At 36.8% G+C, this 20,468-nt stretch overlaps 1 protein-coding gene across 14 annotated transcripts in view, besides 1 other annotated feature; it reads left to right on the top strand.

The window, feature by feature from the left end:
• The window catches only part of TRPM3 (transient receptor potential cation channel subfamily M member 3), a 917,912-nt gene that overhangs the window by 396,142 nt on the left and 501,302 nt on the right, over positions 1 to 20,468 (top strand). The window lies entirely within an intron of this gene.
• Positions 2,185 to 2,686: an enhancer, noted in NCBI's record as "NANOG hESC enhancer chr9:73663060-73663561 (GRCh37/hg19 assembly coordinates)". NCBI's record gives its function as "activates a minimal SCP1, AML or CMV promoter by ChIP-STARR-seq in naive H9 embryonic stem cells {active_cell/tissue: H9 hESC(naive)}" and the evidence as "EXISTENCE:reporter gene assay evidence [ECO:0000049][PMID:30033119]".

Genomic DNA, 20,468 nt, shown 5'->3' with positions numbered 1-20,468 from the left:
AGAGATATTTGAAGAGAGGCCAAGATGAGGGCTGTGATTACTGTTAGTTCATTCAGTGTAGATGACCTGCATTCCGTGGGCTTGGGCCCATTTGCAGATGAGTAAAAATTCTCTGAAAAATGGGTGTGCACCAGAGTTTCGAATGTACAGGTATGTTATTGATATATAAACAGAAGTGTGTTTAAGGAAAGTAACACTTCTAAAAGTGACACTTCTAGCCAACAAGTAGTATATAAAGATTTTATTTTTTTGTGGAAAAATATACATAACATCAAATAAGATATAATTTTTCTTATTAGATAATTATGAAATATAGTTCAGTAATCTGAGAGATGCCCACTCATTACTTTGGTTTTCTTGTGATTTCTGTCTGACATGGCAGGGACTTTAAAACTAGTCTAGGAAACACTTTAATTTCTGTGAGCAAAACTGTATCTTATCTCTGCCTTAGTTAAAGATACAAATTGTACTTTTTAATATTTATTTGTTAAATTCTCTATTACCAAGGTGTATCGGAGATCTACATGAATCTCTCAATAAATAATTGGTACATTTTATTTATATGCATAAAAATTAGGAGTCTCCTCCATCCCCAGCATCATATTCCATACCCACAAAACAATGGTGAATAAGTCATAATCCCCATTTAACAATTTTCTCTATGTATTGATTCCTGCTATGTGCATGATACTGAGGGGAGCACTTCATAGAAGACAATAAGGCTTTTGAGCACCTTCTGTCTTCTGGGTCCAGTTGTTATTTCATTTCACATTATTCCATAATAACCTGCAAGAAGGTTGTTATTATTATATTATGTGTGTGTGAATGGTAAGACACTGAACATAGGACTTACCCTCTCAACAAGTTTTTAAGTGTACAATACATTATTGTTGACTATCAGAACAGTGTTGTATGGCAGATTTGGAAGCAGGTTATTATTAGCTTGTGGGTCACAGGTGAGGGAACTGAGCCTCCGAAAGTAAGGGAACTTTCCCAAACTTACAGAACTAGAAAACAGAGGAAATGGGATTTTAATCTAGTCTCCCAAGACTCTGGAGCCCATCCTCCATTACACCTCAGTACCTCCTCTGCCCTCAAAGAGTTGCAGCCCAGCAGAAACAACACAAACTACCCACAATGACCAGGCAAGGTAGAAATGGCCAAGTGTCAATTGCTTCCAGGGACCTTCTCATCTGGCCATGTCTTCTCTTCCCCTGCAAACCCAGGCAACATACAGACCTCCTTACTGGCTTGGGCTCCTTAGGCCACCCTTTTCCCCCTTTCCTCTCATGAACTTGGTTAATTTGGTTTAAGTACAATTATAAAATGTTGCTTTCAGATCTAAAACTCACTTCAGATATGGATAATGTGAGAGTAGTGTTAATACAATATATTTTGGAGAGTATTGATATTATATACTATATTTCAGTATATATGTTCTAGGATTTGGAGTATATATGCATACCATATATTTTGGAGAGTTTTCCTCATACTCTGAAAGATGAGTACTTACAAGTCTGACCCTGAGAATTTGGGCTGATGTGGAGCCGTGTGTGTGGAGGGGATCATATTGCTAAGGCATGTTAGAGCAGCCTTGGGGTGAGGGAGTCGGGTTGTGCCTCATAATAATAAAGGTAAGTCAATGGAGTCATGTATAATGCCTGCTGACTCTCGAGCAATGACTGTACCTAAGATGATAGAGTAGCAAAGAAGTGCTGAAGTATGTGAGGGTCCTCAGCCTTCTCTGGGGGAGGAGTCATTTGTCATATTTCCCTGGAAGCAGAAGATTAGGATAAAGCTATTTTATAAGATAACATTTAAGAATGTGAGTTTGAAGGGAATGAATAATTTCCACCTGCTTTCATCTCATAATAGCTAATGTGGGCAAGAATGGAGCCATAGCTCAGGCTCCTCATGAGAAATCATGTCCCTTTTCCATTAAGTGATTTCTAGTACCTTGAGTTGTTTAATATCTCACAGAAATACATCCAGATATTCCTCTCACATCAGCATCCAGGTGAGGTTTTGCTTTCTGAGGTAGTCTCAGAAATTGGACACTGCTTTTCACTCACCTGATGTTGCTAGGCTTGATTGTGATTTCCTGCAATTTTTCATGTCCTTTCTCAAGCAAGACTCCAGCTCTAACCAGCACATCAAACAGAGTAGATTCAAATCATAGAATCAAATGGGGTGAGTGGAACATGGTTCTACCTTCTGGCCGGAGCAATAAACAAAGTGCCTAGAGAGGGAACAGAACCAGTCAAGAGTTCTCCTGATTTAGATGGTAAGTGAGAATGACAGTATTGTTGCTGAAAGCGCATACCACCCAGCACGCTTGCTTGGGGAAGACGGATTGGACTATTCATGCATGTCCAGTGAGTCAAGTGTTTCCAAGGACATAAAGATTTGTGGCCATTCAGCCTGTAGCTTAGTGAAAGGCTACCTGCTGGGCAGTGTAGATTAGAGGGGTTACTGAATTCTTTGACATAAAATGAGGTAGGTGATCAAATACCTAAGTACTCTAAAAAATTAAGAGACAGTTTTTTAACCAGTCTTCTGTTTAACAGATATATTGAGTACTTGTTCCCAACAGGACACCAGTCTTGGCTGTGTAGGGGATGGAATGATGAAAATGTATACTCTTCTTCCTTTAATAAAAGTGTTAATATTTGGTTGGTGCAAAAGTAATTGTGGTTTTGCCATTAAGAGTAATTAAAAGTCATGGCAAAAACTGTGATAACTTTTGTACCAACCTAGTAATATGCTAGAGTATATATCTAAAGTTGAATCATGATATGACCAGAGTAGAAAATAAAATCATACATTCCTACATTCATTCGTTTATTGAACAAATAATTATGAAGTACCTAATACGTCAGACACTCTACAAAGCATTGGTGAGTCACTGGTAAATGAGAGAATCAAAGACTCTGCTCTTACCATACCGTTTTTCATTTGTTTGTTGTGTGAGTGTGTGTGTGTGTGTGTGTGTGTGTGTGTGTGTGTGTGTGTGTGTGTGATGCAGCCAGTAGTCTTGTATCTTGAAAGCAATGATTTTCTGTGGCAATTGCATATGTACCTACTTACAGTTTTGTAGTTTCTACTATGGAACATATTTAGCCATTCTAGCTTTTGCTGATGACAAAGGAATGAGTTCTTGCTTATGGTAAAGGAGTAGATCCAATCATGTCAAGGGAAATAATAGAATGAGCAACATGTTCATCTTATCCAGAGGATAGCCTGAGTTACAGGGGCTGTCCACAGGCTTGCTTCAGCCATATTTCAAACCCTGTGTCAAATCAACCTATCGGTGGAATTCCTTTAAACATTCTATGTGACATGCGTACATTCTTAATGATGTATTCCAATTCTGGGACATTCAAGTAAAATACTTCATAAGAATTTCAGAAAAAAAATTATTAAAATTTTCTTACCTGATGATAAATTCAGGCTAGAGGATATGAGTGCTTAGAAGAAAATCTAGAAAAAGTAGGATCATATTAAAAAATTGAAGAGCCATATTAATGACTATACTCTATTTATTATACATCTACAAACTTAGAATATGGTAATTCCTAATAATCTCTAGTGGTAATAATTCCAAATTGGGCAAGAAGATATTCACATGTGAACTCCTTTCTCTGATTAATTTGGGACCTTTTCCATCTACTGGAAAAACATTTCATTAAGTTCATTTTCTACACACTTACATGTACACACACACACTCTTTTATTTCCCTTATGATCTGGAGGAATTCATCTTTATAAAATACTATAAGAAAACCTTGTGTTTTTCCCTCAAGATATTTCAATGGTCAAGTTCTTAGGGATTACAAAGGTAAGACTATTTTGGCATATGTGTAACTCTGGAACAGGTATATGGTATTTGGTGCTTATTACGTTGAACATTCCTTAAGTGAACTTTATGGCATTTAGAAAAAAACAATGGAACACAACTGTGAAAGGCCAAAGACCAGGTAGACTCCATTTCCTCCTGATCAGCTTTTCATTCTGTTCTCCTATACAAATACCTATTCAATATGTATGTTGCTTTTACAACACTTTCAAGTCATAGTAAATCCATTTTAAATTATAAGGGCCTCAAGGGTTTGTGTGTATAATTAATTTCTTTTTTCCTACCTTCCTTTAATTGTTAAGAAGATTCCTCCAGGAAAAAAATATCTCAATAAGTGACAATAGGGAAGGAGGGTGGGTGATAGGTCGGGGAGGATAGATCCGGAGACAGGCAACAAATAGCTGATAACCTGGAAATCCTTTTGGAGGGCTATCTGAAGCAGATAACAATATTTAGATACTTAAAATAGAAGTGCCCTTTCCCTTGATACTTTATGGGCCTGCTAATTTATTTCTTCCATTTACAAGATACTGAATATTAAAATTGCCTTTACTTATTTAAAAGTTCACAAAATATTGAGTTGTGAAGAGTTATTCATGCGATGTTTCCCAGCATGAATTCCTTAGAAATGTTATTCTCACAGAATGCTCTGAGATAAAAGAGTTTAGTGGTCATAAAAGTGTAGAAAAGGCCAGGCGCGGTGGTTCACACCTATAATCCCAGCACTTTGGGAGGCCGAGTCTGGTGGATCACGAGGTTAGGAGTTCAAGACCAGCCTGACCAGGATAGTGAAACCCCATCTCTACTAAAAATACAAAAAATTAGCCGGGCGTGGGGCGCTTGTAATTGCAGCTACTCGGGAGGCTGAGGCAGAGAATTGCTTGAATCTGGGAGGTGGATTCAAGCCAAGATCGTGAGCCAAGATTGCGCCACTGCACTCCAGCCTGGGTGACAGAGTGAGGCTCCATCTCAAAAAAAAAAAAAGTGTAGGCAATACCACTGGCTGTAGACACTCCTGGAAAGTCAAACATTAGCAAATGGAAAGGTCTAGGAGGTGTTACAATAAATAATCCTATTTATTTTTGTTTGCCTAATTTTCCAAAATTATTTGGCTATTGAATCCCCAATTTTATGGGTTAGAACCTGAACATTTTCATCAGAACTAATGTTACATAGTACGCTAAACTCTGTGGGAAGCACCGGATTGAGTAGTCTTCTGAGTCTCTTAGCCTGTGTTTAGAACTCTTCACAATTTGAAAACAAATCTGCATTACTTTCCCAAGTCTCTCCTTTAGGAAAACTCTATTCTTTCTTTCTCCCAGTCAAAAATTTCTTGTCTGCATTTTTTATGCCTCATCTGTCCCCCTGCCTCATCCTCATTGCTGCTTCTTTAATGAGACCCATCAACCATCTCATAAGCAATCTGCAGGAAGAATTTATTCAGTACACAAATATTTATTAAGTATCTGTGATATAACGAATTGTACACCGGGTACTCATGTGAGAAAGAAAACTTAGAGGCCAGCACAGTATCTGTCTTCAGGAGTTTACAGTGTGGCCGAGAAATCATTTTAGTGTAATAACTTGTGATGTGTTGCCTGCCATAAGAAAAATACTAAGGAGGTGAAAATAAGGGAAAGATAATATTCAGATGGGGACAACCTAAGAAGGTGACATGGAAGGAGGATTGAGATGGTATTCCAGATTGGGTGAAAGCATTTAAAAAATAAAACCCTGTAGTCCCAGCTACTCGGGAGGCTGAGGCAGGAGAATCACCTGGACCCAGGAGGTGGAGGTTGCAGTAAGCTGAGATCGCACCACTGCACTCAAGCCTGGGTGACAGAGCGAGACTCCATCTCCAAAATAATAATAATAATAATAAATAGTAAAAATAAAACTACAGGAGTATTAAAAGTGATAATAAATCCTAGAGACTCTTCGATGGAGTGTCTCCTGGATTGACCAAAATACAACAGAGAGCAATAACAGTTAAGTCTGGAAATGGCCGGGCGCTGTGGTTCATGGTTGTAATCCCAGCACTTTGGGAGGCCGAGGCGGGTGGATCACGAGGTCAGGAGATCGAGATCATCCTGGCTAACATGGTGAAACCCCGTCTCTACTAAAAATATAAAAAATTAGCCGGGCGTGGTGGCTGGCGCCTGTAGTCCCAGCTACTTGGGAGGCTGAGGCAGGAGAATGGCGTGAACCCGGGAGGCGGAGGTTGCAGTGAGCCGAGGCCGCGCCACTGCACTCCAGCCTGGGTGACAGAGTGAGACTCCGTCTCAAAAAACGAAAAAAAATGCTGGAAAGGAAGTTTGGAGTCACATCATAGATAATAGATCATCTTAAATGTCAAGCTAATGAAGTAGGACTTTTTGTAGGAGATGGTGGCAGATATTGAATAATTGAATGTCTTCATAATGATACAATAAAAACATCGTATTAATACTCAGAATATTAACTTAGTAGAAATAACTAGAAAGAACTAAAGTGAAAGACGACTGGAAGCTGAACATACAAGAAAATTGGTGGAAAAGCAAAGAATATAAACAGACTCAATGAGACTTGGCAAGTAATTGATCATGGAGTGAATGAAAACCAAAGATGAGCCTGAGTCTTTGGGTTTTCTTCTCTGCGAGTCTGGTGACAGAAATGGGAGCAGCTGCTTAGGGGTGGTGAGGACCGGGTGTTTGGGTTTTGATGTTTTTCTTTTAAGAGTCCATGGAACATAGAGATGCCATTTCTGTACAAGCAATTGGAAACACAAACTTGGAGATTAATAGAGGGGCTTGGATGAAAAATAAAATTTTAAAAGTCTTGTGACTAAACTTAATAATTAAGATCATAGAGATGAATCAGATGCTCATGAGAGAAAGTACACAGTGGAAAAAGGTGAGATTTAATTATGGAAAAGCCTAGAAAATGGGAGGGGAGTTCATGAAAAAGATAATGGAATATTGTGAGATAAAAAGAGAATCAGTTGGGGTAGTACAAAATTATAGAAAATAAGCAGGGGAAGTCTCAAGGAGTGATGCGACATGATGCAGAGATGAAAAAGGATCAGGTCTAAGGAAAGACTACTAGACTTTGTGAATCAGAGGTAATGACTGAACCTTGAGAGAGTAGTTCCAAGAGGGCAGAGGTGTTCAGATGGTATACTGCACTGAAATTCCTAGAAGGGCTTGTTAAACATAGATTCGCTTGTCAGTCCCCATTCTCTCACCCCAAGATTCTGATTTCACAGATTTGCAGTGAAGCCAGAAAATTTCTCCTTCTAAAAAATTCCCAGCTGATGCTGATGTTGCTAGTCCAGGCGCAAATTTTGGAAATCATTTCAATAGAATGATGGGTGGTTGTAATAGATGTGGGAGGATATAGGAATACATGATAATCAAGAGGTCTATGCAGCAAATGGAGGAAAGTCCAAAATACTTGCCTATGAAGAGAAGATGAGAAAAAGCTGTAGTTCTGGGTCCTAGTTTTCCTTCCTATTGTACCCAGAACTGTAGCTTTTATATTTTATGTACTCAGGGATTTTCTATACATTAAAGATAATCACTAGTCATTTCTTGCTACTTGCTCTGGTAGCTGAGACTTCTTAAATATAGCTTTAAATGTGGTAAACTCTTCCAGGCTCCTCCATCTTTTCTTCCCAGAAACTGCCCCCAATTTCAACCTCATATCCAAAATACAGCAGCTGTTTATCAATCACCCACTAACTACCAGAGTTGGAATATAGCAAGGTTTGAAGCTCTCTGGAAAGTAGATGGCTACTAAGGAATTGAGAGAGAATATGTCAGACAGCCTTTTAGCCTCAAAAATGCAAAAATGTGTACGTTCTTACATTTAGGCGCTTAAAAGCTCACGATCAGTTTTGCAAAGATACAGAAATTTCCAATTTTCACATAAATCTGCAAGGACTTGGCAGAAATAGTGTGACTGCTTTCCTCCAAATGCAGTCATGCTCATGTGTAATCGCAAGAAACAGGAATTAATGCAACTCTTGCAGTTTAGCAAAGTCATTTCAAAGTCTCTATAGTGCTTTCTTAAATGATACTGTGATTTTATTACCTATACTTTAACACACCATGGTGCTTTCTGATGAACTGTTTATGGCCCTTTCATTCTTCCCAACTGCCAGGTATAGAATGCTTATTTAAATTACGTTTTTCCTTTCTTATTCAAAACCTTTTAAGGACTCTGCTGTTTGAAAAATTGACTCTTACCTGGGTAAAAAGAGAATGAAGAGTTACCCAAATGTAATCAAATGCTGTCAGAGGGCAGAAACTTCTACTGCTGATTAGAAGTCAACTTCAGAACATCCAAAGGTCACTTCTTTTACATGTAAATATTAGCTTGGACATAGGAAATTGGAGGCATGGAAATTCAAGGAGAACTACTAAAGAATGTTGTAAGAAGAAAAGAGATGGTGTAGGGAGCTTAGCGTGTTCCTGCCACTTATGGGACATTTATCGAACACCCACTATGTGCTTAACATAGGAAGGAAACAAATACAAGATACATTCCGTTCTTCATGTAAATGCCATCTATTTTGGTGACAAGACAAAATGATGTAAAACAGCAACAAATAATTTTTTAAAGCAGTTGTTGAATGGCATGATATACATGAAGTGGGAAATGCTGTGTAATATGTAAACATTGAAGAAAAGCAACACAAATTAGCACAGCAGAGGCTCAGTTGATAAATTAATTCAATGCAGCATTTCCCAAATATATTTGACCATTGCCCTTTCCCTCACCTTTTTTTTTTCAAATAACAACTTCAATATTCTAAGGTACATACTTTAGGAAATGGTTATGGAACAGACAAAGCCAGCTGCTAAAAATAAAGTTGTCTAAGCTTTTAATCCTCAGATTTCTGAGCTCCAAAACTGGGAATAATAATGTCTCTCGCATGGAAGATGGATGGATTAAATTAGGTTCTGTGTGTGTGTATGTATTGATTAGCATCTAGGACAGTACCTCACATGAAATTGGTATTCAATAATTAGTAGCTGCTATTATTATTATTTTTAATTATCTTTATACAGAGGGGACAATATAAGAGAAAATATTGAGGCAGGATTGAGTATCATTTGAGGGCAACGAGGAGACTGGCCTGTCCAGGGTAAAGTGTTCTGTTTTGAATATAGAGGGGATTAGATTGGCTAAATCCTACCTGAACAGGTTTGGGACTTAATTCAGAGGAGAGAGGAGAATTAAGGACAAAGGAGAAGAAACTGGGAAAATAAAGGCTGCCTGGAAGTATAGATATCAAAGACAGTAGCAGTTGGCCCTCATCCAACCTAAGGTCGCCAACTAAACCTTTTTGTGAATGGCTCGTACCTGAGTCTGGTCTTTTCTCTGAGCTGGGTCGAGTGGGAAATAACAGCCTTTTTCTATGCATCGATTTGGACATTGCCAAGAAACCATCAAATGGAGTTAGTCAGAAAAACATACTTATGCATATATATTTACTCTTCTTTTCCACCATCACTGATATGTTGTACCTCTCCACCAAGCTGATCATAATCAAACCCAATACCAGAAAGAAACCATGTCATGACAGAGAGGGTTATTATGGTTTGAAGGAAAAATACTTGTTTTAAGTTTTTACGTTTTGACATCATTTCAGAATTCCCAAATACTTGCAAAATATTATAAAGAATCACCATATACTTTACTTGGATTCACCAAATTTTTTCATGTTTCCATTTTTACTTCCCCCTTTTCTCTCCTTCTCTCTCTCTACACATACATCATACATGCACACCCAATTTCCTTCTGTACTGCTTAAGAACAGTTTCAGACATAGTATACCTCTACCCTAAAATACTTTGACTTTCCCCAAAGCAAGGATATTCTCTTTCCTAACACTAGTACAGTGATCAAATTCAGGAAATTAACATGAATACAATATTATGTAATCTATTCAGATTTTGCCATCATCCCAAAATGTCTTTCTGGCAAAAGAAATTCCTAGGTCCCATGTTGCCTCCAGTCGTCACGTCCCCTCCGTTTCCTTCAGTCTAGGAAAGTGCTTAGTCTTCCCTTATCTTTCATGACCTTGACACTTTTAAAGAGTACTGGACAGTTTTTTGGTCAACTCTGTCAATATTTGAGTTTGTCTGATGCCTCCTCATGATTATATTCAGGTGATGCATTTTTGCCCCAGAAGTGCCATGGTGTGTGTCCCAGTGGCTTGTATCGGAAGACACCTGATGTCTGTTTCTCATTCCTGCTGATGTCAGTTTTCATCCCTAAGTTGAGGTGATGCTTGCTAGATTTGTCTTCTGTTCTTCTCTGCTTTATTTTGCAATGATGTAAATATCCTATTCCTCTTGTTTTGGCATCCATTGATGTTTATTTCTGAATCAATTATAACCATGATGGTTGCCAAATGCTGATGTTTTTAATTCTAATCAAAGGCAATTTTTTAAAAGTGTTTATTCAAAGAGATGCTACTCTATGTGAATTAGTCTAGTTTACCAAATGCCACTCTGAAAGTAAAATGTTTTATATACAGCATGAGAAAATATCTCTGACATCCCACTGTAACTGTTAATGTCCTGGGGGCTGGCACTGCTGAGAAAGTATGGAAAGCAATACCACGTTGATGAACAGCTATGAATTTCAAAACTTCTGTTATAGAGAGAGCTTCATTCACTAATATTTACCTTTAAAAATATTGAGAAATAGTATGTGCTTTGCAATAAACTATTTTTATAAAGAATTCCAGCTCTAGCTGCTAGGAGCTCTTTCTGCTTAAAGACATAAGAGATTTTGGTTTTTGCTTTCACTCAAGCAATAAACTTGTTTGTGTAAGATTGAAAACAGATTTGGAACCAGTAAAGCCTTGTTTGAAAGAGCCGCAGGCTTTCTTTTCCCTGCATAGGGACTCTAACTCTCATTCCCATTATGTAAAAATTATGACAAAAAATTGATTTTTCATAACATCTATGAAATTTATTGAACAAGGAAACAGTTTAGTTTTTAAAAACTATTTCCCTTATAATGAAATTATCAAATATTATAATTTTGAACCCATATTATAAAATGTGACCATCATATTCCATGAATACAAAAGGTGAGCATGTATTATGGCCCAGATACAGGATGTAATACTAATAACTATAGCATACAATGATACATAATGATAATGATACAGGGTATAATGATAATTATAGTCCAAAGTCACCCTGTGAGGTATTACCTCCATTTACAGAAGACACAACTGAGACAGAGAAAAGTTAAATGCCCTTCATTTTATTTCCAATGTTTGTGAGTCCTGTTCTATCCATTAATGCTGAGAATTGGGACCTGTTTATGTCTATCTGCATTAGTAAGAATAATCTTGAGACTGAGTTGACCATGTTGATGGCCCAAGGGCTTATTAGCCTTCTCTACTTTTGTGAGAAGGTTACATATGGCATTTCCATACCCAATATGTTCTCTTGAAAATGTACATTTTCCATCTCTGGCAGTATCTAGGTACAGAGTATAGATTTTATATTTCTGAAAAATCCATTGCTCCTATTAAAAAGCATCTACTGATACTATGACTTAAAACTTAAATGTCATAGACCTTTTAACCTGCTTATTGGATATTTAAGTACTTAATGTGCTTGGCATCCTATTGGGTTCTTTACATGTGTTCTGTGTAGCCTTCTGTATAGTAGTTTTGAATTCTTGATTCTGCACATGAGAAAGCTGAAGCTTAGAGACAGAAAGCTTTGCTCAAGACTGAAGCACCAGAAAGTTCAGAGGGAAGGTTCAGTTCCGTGATTTGTCTGATTTCAGAGTCCATTGTCCATACACCACGCTGACCACACTGGCTTCCATGAGAGTGCCAGAATCGGTGGGTAAAAAGGTGATTAATATGCAAGGTCATGGGTCATGGTAACATTGTCTTAGCAAGATACATGATACATTTCCCTCTATTTGTTTTTTGTTTTTTTAAGTTTACTTTAGAATGTTTCTTCCTGATTTATTAATGCACTGAGGACAGGGTCAAATAGTGATACTGTTTTACCACTGCCTCGTGGGTCAGTTCTGCCTCTTCTAGCCTTAGAACTGACTGAGCATCTTTCTGCTGTGGGACATCAGCAGGTACTGTTTCCTCTGCTTGGAATGTGATCCCCACTCCTCATTCTGTAACTAGCTATCTCCTACCCATCCTTCAGATCTCAGTTATAAATATGACTTCTGCAGAAAGCTTTCCCTGACCTGCTCAGTGTCCATGTGCCCTATTGGACTGTAAGTTCCATAAGGCCAGGTTCCATCTGTATCCCTGGCTTCTAACACTGTGCCTGACACATAATAGGTACTCAGTAAATAATTGTTAAATATATGAATGAATGAGTGAATGAAAGCAAAAGAGGAAAATGAAAGAAGAAAGGGAAGATGATAAGGAGAGAGGGAAGAAGAGGAAGAGAAATAGGGAAAGATATTGTTAGGGAGAAAGAGAAAAGTGGACAGGAAAGAAGAGAGGGAGAAAGGAAGAGAGGGAAGAAACAAAACATTCTCAGCCAAGTTATATAATAAGCACATCATAATGAAAACGATTACTGGATCTAACTAAGGCCAGTAAAAATGATTTTAGCCCTTGCATTTACATTTTCTATGGCCTTGAATAAGTTATTTTTCCTGTCTGGACTTCTATTTCGTTACTAGTAAAATTAAGGTTTGAACTTAAAGACAAGAGGCATCTCAGATCTCTTCAAATTCTATCATGCTCCTGATCTACATTCATTAGTGGAGAAGTGTTCTCAAATGCCTAATATGCGCTTCTTCACTTATTCTCCAACTCTCTAAAGTGCAAAGCAGTCCATGGCCTGAACAAAACAAATTTGTTTGAAAACACTTTAGACTCTGTCACTCCATCTTTTACCTTACTAAGCTAAGACTGTTGAAAATTCAGTAGGTTCATTAAAATCAATACTTAGACCTCTGCTTCCTTGTAATCAGTAAGCACTACTGTGTTTTGACTGAAGAAGAAAATAAAAGTATATAAAAACCTTAGCAGCAAGAACTGCACAGCAACAATGGCTGTGCCACTTATTTGAATGCATAAATGTCATTTTCTAAGACTGATGTTATCCAGGTTTTTCTTGATTAGGACTCTTATCTGTGGCATCCATACTTGATAGAACTGTGAGTGGACAGGCAGGAAGAATGGCAGATGGACAGGTATTATATAGCTCATAGGCTCTTGCATATTACTGATTACATCTGCTGTGATACATTTCATTGAGTGGTTTCTGTGCATGTCTTCTTCATCATGCCGATGTTCTGCAGGCTGTTAGCCAAGAAGTGAAGTGAACCACACAGTCACACAGTCAGCTACAATGGGTAAGACTGCAGTAAGCAAGAAGTGCAGTCGTGTAACTCAATTTTGGAGGAGCTGTGCTGAATGGATGGGCAAAGGATGCGCACACGCATGTGTGCACACACACACGTATAAGTGTCTTCCTTTTGAAGCCATATATTATATGCACACATATCACATATTTACATAAAAATGTTCATGGAGCACTTGTAACCCTACTGAGTTTTAGGAAACTCTTGGATGTAACCCAGTAAAATTAAATCCAGTCAAACTGTTGGATTTGTGTTACATATTCAAACTTTAAATTTAGTATTTCCTGAGATACCAAGACTTAACTCTGAGGTGTATGGACTAATTACTAATTGGTTAAAGTAGACTGGTCTTATATACCTAAGCACCCATATGTTGAAACTTTCCTCGCTGCTATAAGTTGAAAATAATCATAATAAGAATAGATCAAGACTGGATGATCAAGATACAGTTAATTCTCAATTAATAACCCTAAAAGGAAATAAATGAATTTTTATATAACATAGTACACACACTTCATATGAGATGCTTTTTGTAGTTTTGCTACTGTTACTTTTACTGTTGCCACTGTTCTTGGTCATAAGCTGTTTTAGTGTGGCAACTATCTCTTGTATATTTTATTATCTCAATAATAGCTTTGTATCATCATAGATGCTTGAAAAATGCCTACAATCATGTTGTAGTGGGTTGTCCAAAATATCACATAATTTAAAAATCTCTGATTTGTGTCTTTGAAATGTGTTTTTACTCATATTTGAGTACATGTGTCTCTTGATCTGCACCTTCCATTGAACCACCTAGTTGACATCCCAAAGGTGCAAAGCAGTTGTCCGGTTTTCCATGCTGTCGTTTTGCACAACTCTGTGTTGCACATTGCTTCATGATGGTAGGCAGCTACTTCAGACTAATGCAAACTTGGCCGTCTTTCAAATCTTCCCTTAATCTGGGCAAAAGGCCAAAAGCTTTTGTTTCAAAGAGTTCTCCTCATGCAAAACAAATACAATGGGTTCCCCTATTCCTTCAAAAATATTGTGCCAACAAATGGGTAATGAAGCTTTTTCACTGTTAACTTTTCAGTGAATGCCCAGAAAGCGAAAATGGGTAATGAAATGAACCGGGGTCTGTGGCAAAACCAGAAGGCAGTGTAGATAATATATCCATAAATAAGTGAAATTTGGTTGTGCTGAGTTTATATGTGCTTGCTAAAAACCATGTCAAGGTGCTGGAGTGCTTTCTCAAGAAAATTGAAGAGGCAGAATTTACAGACATAGGTGACCTGGAGGTTCATGCTGCATGCATCCTAATTAAGTAAAGCAGTCACTGAAATTGCTTTCTGTCATCTGGATAAGAAGCAATTACAGTCACACTTCAGGTTGCTGTTTCCATGAGGGAATAAGGTATTGTATTTAGCTGACTCTTCCAATCAATTGAGGGTTAATAAATTAATGCCCATACTTGTCAAAATGTAGCATGACAAAGGAGAAATCTCTTAAATGCTTAGAAGATAGAGACTTTAAAACTCCAATCTGTAATCTTCCATTTCCAGATCATAAAGTTAGGGCTGATGATAATGTTTCTTTTCTTACTACAACTGAAAAAAAAATCCCAAAATTAAAAAAAAAAAAAAAAAAAAGCCTATGTTTGCATCACCAAGTTGAGTTTCATATGGTGTACAGTAAATTCAGTTACACTAGATTTCTTTATATAACATCCTCTACTTGTCTCTATTTAATAATTTGTACCATATATTTTATGGCCTTCACTAGAATGATAAGTTCTTCAAGGGTAGTAACTGTGAAATTTTTCTGAGAGGTCCTTACTACAGCAAGTCCCAGTAAAAGTTTGATAAAGGAGTACATTTTTTGTTTTATTTTTTATTTTATTTATTTATTTATTTTTGTGAGACAGTCCTGCTCTATCACCCAGGCTGGAGTGCATTGGCACAATATCGGCTCACTGCAACCTCTGCCTCCCGGGTTCAAGAGATTCTCATGCCTCAGCCTCCTGAGTAGCTGGGATTACAGGCATGTGCTATCAAGCCTGGCTAATTTTTGTATTTTTAGCAGAGACAGGGTTTTGCCATGTTGGCCAGGTAGGTCTCAAACTCCTGGCCTCAAGTGATCTGCCTGCCTTGGCCTCCCAGAAGTGCTGGGATTACAGGCATGAGCTGCCGCACATTGCCAAAGAGTACATTAATTGTGTTTTTATACAATATATGAATGACTAAATTTATGCCTTCTAGTGCCTCTTCTTAACATATGTTAAGTCTCTAAAAGTAGCTTCTAGATTGTGGGAGTTGTTGTTATTAGGAGAATTTCTGGGAAGATTGTAAAGTTTGCATCCATTGGTCTTCCTGGTAGTTTCATCTTTCTCTTTTTTAACAATCTAAACTCTATAAATTGCTGGTTACTTGATGAGTGCAGTTGGCTGAATGGTTGTCAATCATGTTTTTACTAATTACGAAAAAGCAATGAATTTAGGGAAGAAAGCTTTTGGAATAATTCTGATTAACTACAACAAAAGAGTTGGCCTGCTAAAGGAAAGAATTGGGCTGGAATTTCCAACAGGATGGGATTAGTTACAAATTGCCGCTGTAAACAAGGAATAAGCTCGAGGAAACAGTGTTAAGATATTTTGTAGCAAAAAAAAATTATATATTTTGACCATTTTTTAAATGCACGTGTGAGGTAGAACAAAATTTAAAGTTATTTTGAATTTTTCAGAAATAAAATTTCTAGAATGTATACATATATACATATATATGGACATACATATATACATCACACTGAATGATGTGTTGATAAGCATTCAACAACCCAACAGCATTCAACAACCCAACATCTCTCTCTAAAAAAAAAAAAATAGTAAAGACCCCAATTGGTAGCATTGTTGATTTCCATGATGTAAATACTCCCACCATGACTGATTTCAAGCTACCGAGATGATGTTACTGAGCACAGAATTGGGAAGAAATGCACAGAGTCAGCTGTCAAACTGAATCGAGCCAGCTCAAGGAAACCACTGCCCACCTCCACCCCCAAGTATATCATTTAACTGCTGCACACCCCACCCTTACACCCTAGATATTAGAGGTATGGGATGCCTCTAACATCTCAGATATTGAATCCTATATATCACACATAGAAGTGACCCCAAACCCAGTATAGGATCACCTAAAATTGTATGAATGAAATATTCACCTCTCTTTTTTCCCATGTTTCAGTCAACTCAATAGAACAGTAAGATTTACCTCTTCTTGGGAATAAGCTCAATTTAAAGAAACATATTCAGTTAATAAATATTATCAATAAATGTGAACTCCCCACCAATCCTTCTGTCATTTAGCCAATGACCCAGACTTCCTGACCAAGTTCAGTACTGCCTGGATCTCTACTATGCCAAGCAGAGCTGAGATGAGGCTATCATGGCAGTCAGAGATTGCGGCTTCGAAGTACAGTAGGTCTTCAAATAACATTGTTTTGTTCCATGTCGATTTGTTGTAACATTGACAAGAAAAGGAAACTGATTCCCAGCTGGGGCCACTGTCTATGTGGAGTTTGCACATTCTCTCCATGTCTGCATGGGTTTTCTCTGAGTACTCCAGTTTCTTCCCACATCCCTAAGATGTGCGTGTTAGTTTCATTAGCATGTCTACACAGTCCCAGTGTGAGTGAGTGTCGGTGTATGTGAATGTGCCCTGTGATGGGATGGCAGCCTGACTACTGTGGGTTTCTGACTTGTGCCCTGAGCTGCTGGGACAGGTTCTGGCCACCCGTGACCCTGAGCTGGAATAAGTGAGTTAGAAACTGAACAAATGAATGCACGCAAATTATTATCAAATAAAAATTCATCAAGTATATGATAATCATAGAAATGTACAACAAACCATGCAACCCCAAAGCTCTCAGCAAGCCTGCCATATTGGTTCTTGTTTTTGAACTGCATGGTAGGAGAAGGTGCAATTCTGACTTTGCAAACATTTATTCTTTTATTTAATCCATCGCCACTGTGATCATCATCACTCACTTTTTCACCAAAACTTGGGTAAATAATACTCTTACTTGTTTTTATTAATCTTAAATGTATGTATAGTTCAAATTTATTTCAGTGTCTATTATTAGAAGTGTTTTGAGTCTTTATTTAGAAGTTTGGTGATGTTTTTGTGACCAGAAATATACCATAGGAACTTAACTCTTATTTCTATCTCTTCGCCTGTGGTAAAATTGATTTTTATGTATGTCATCTTGCTTAAACTAAGTTTACAAGAACTTATCTATGACATTAAGTGAAGAAGTACTGTGCTGGCTTGTGTATATTAAAAGCAGCCGTGTCCCAGGGACCTTGCTCTCAGTACAACTTGTATCTTACTTAGGACGCTTTAGTCTGGCTGTTTGACTTTCTGATAGTCTAGGACCACTTCTCTCTAAGTACCACATTTCCTTTTGCTTTAAGGGCTACAAGCCCCAACCATCTAGGACCCTTTCTTTTTAAATACCACATTTCCTCTTGCTTCAAGGGCTACAAGCCCCAGCCCACTTAAGATGGAGAGATGACTTCTCAGTGAACTATCAGATAGGTGCCAAAAGAGTCAGATGGAAATAGAATCTGATTACTTAACTCTGCTTATAATCAATAATTGGCACTAAGTAAAGCAGGGAGTTTTAATCAAGGTAAATGGAGCTATGATGAATAGGTAGGTAGCTAAATGGAGTCCAGGAAATAATAGAGTGTAATTCAAAAAGAAAGGTGACATTTAATCCAAATATATAAAATACATCTGGCAGAAAGGTTACTTCCTTGCAGATTCTAGAAATTCAGTTAATGAATATTTGTTGAGAACCCATGGTGGTATGCATAGCCATGTACTACACAAAATAACATACCAAAGGACAATATTCTGACACACTAGAAATTGTCTACCTCTAATCAACAAATATATCTCCAAACCTCCCCAATTAAGTTCTTATTGAAACAATTTAAAACTTAGATGTGTGTTTATTCCCAGTGGAATTTTATAATGCAAACTCAATGATTAATCCAGCATGTCTTTGCTTATTAAGAAATGAAATACCTCACTACCTCAAAATACATTGGTAAAATGCTAAAACTAATAGTAAGGATCCTCACTGAAAAACTGTTATAAAACAGATTTGAAACACACATAGACACATACAGCTCAGTGTAGTGGTAGAAAAAATAAATGTATACATTTTCAGGTGGGTTAATTGGACTCAGGAAATCACTTTTTTAACCTGTGGGTCCAGATCTTTCATCATGCTCTCTTTTATGTGATCTCTAGTTAATAAAGTGTTATTAAATGTATGTAGATTTAGAATGACTAGCCTCTTATTCTGCTCTTCACTTCTGCAGTGTTTCTGCTTCTTTCTTTTGTCCTATTAGCTTGCTATATATTATATATTATATTATATAATATATAGTATATATAATATATTATATAATATATAGTATATATAATCCACCATTAAGGTTAATATATATAATATAATATATATAATATTATATAATTATATATATATAATATAATATAATATATATAATATATATAATATATATATATATATTTATATTATATATATATATTATATATTATATAATTATATATATATAATATATATATATATAATATATATATATAATTATATATATATTAACCTTAATGGTGGATTTATAGCCTGATATTTGCAAATATAACCAGATATTAGTAAATACATGTTGGATGGGTCCCAATATTGTATTATTCCCTCTAGGACAATAAGTATGAAGTGTCAAATTTTAATGGCTTTCAAATTATGATTCATGAAATATATTCTGTGAAAATATTAGTGGCCAAACACATTTAGGGTAGGATTACCCCAATGGCTCCAGCCTTGACCCTGAAGTTGAGATTTTTACATATAAAAAGGGAATGTATAAATCTCCCATGATCTCAGAAGTGGGAAATTCTGTGGTCTTAGTGGAATATAAATTGGCATGATATTTTTTAATATTACTAAAAATATTACCAACAGAAAACACAAACATAGCAATAGTGGGCATGCTTTCTTAAATATCTACTTTATGTCAGGTATCTGGCTTTCTTAGGTATCACTGCATGCTGATTACTATGCTATATATCTCATCTGTAATGCCTCCATTCTCGATAGCAACCTGACCAAGGAGTTGTCACTATCTTATTATAAATGAAGAAGTTGATGCTTAGAAAAGTTTAGTGAGAATTATGAGGTAGAACCGATATTCAAACTCAAATGAGGCTAACCATAATTCTGCTGTCTTACTACTATAGCAATCTAATTTTAAGCACTGCAAGGGCAGAGACCATGTTGGTCTTGCTCATCAGACTATATCTAGCACCTAATAATTTGTTTGGCATTCAATGTATATGTGTGAGTTGAAAGAATGAATGAACATCTTTCCTAAACTCTCATTAAGTATCTTGTTTTTTTCATCTTTAAAGTGAGAATTATAATATTAAAAATGTTAATTTTTCAGACATTTAGTGAGACCATGTGACTTAATGTGGTTGCAGCATTTTAATTCTGCAGTGAGGAGCAGTAGCAGCCCAAGATATTATCTAGAAAAGGCTAAAATATACAGAAATGCTGAAATAAACCCCCAAATCCCATAAGTTCAACATTTCAACATTTGACTCAAATAATTTTATTGATAACCAATGAATACCCTGAGTAATTTTGATTCATATGTCTCATGTCAATATCAGCATAATAAATGCAAGAATTAAAATGAAAAGCTCTGGGAGAAATAGCTTTAAATTTAGTTAGTCTTTGTAGCCCAGGTAAAACTGCCAAATATCATTGACTAAATCCTAAGTGTGGATTCATAAATTTGCTTTTACAGATTAATACATTTATTTGTTGTGACAAAGCTAGCATAATTGCTGCACTAAATTCCCAAATTAATAACCTTATCTATATAAAATAATATTTTATATTCTTAAAATGTCATTTAGCATCTGATTAGTCAAAGGATACCTGGGTGTTATTTTTGCAATCTTTTTTTTTTTTTGGAACGGGGTCTCACTTCTCACTCTGTTGCCCAGGCTGGAGTGCAATGGCATGATCTTGGCTCACTGCAACCTCTGCCTCCCGGGTTCAAGCGATTCTCCTGCCTCAGCCTCCCAAGTAGCTAGAATTACAGGCATCAGCCACCATGCTTAGCTAATTTTTGTATTTTCAGTAGAGATGGGGTTTCACCTTGCTGGCCAGGCTGGTCTTG

This window comes from Homo sapiens, chromosome 9, assembly GCF_000001405.40.
Source record: "Homo sapiens chromosome 9, GRCh38.p14 Primary Assembly".
NCBI lineage: Eukaryota > Metazoa > Chordata > Mammalia > Primates > Hominidae > Homo > Homo sapiens.
The sequence above is the reverse complement of the archived record's forward strand: the minus strand, read 5'-3'. Positions and strand labels throughout refer to the sequence as shown.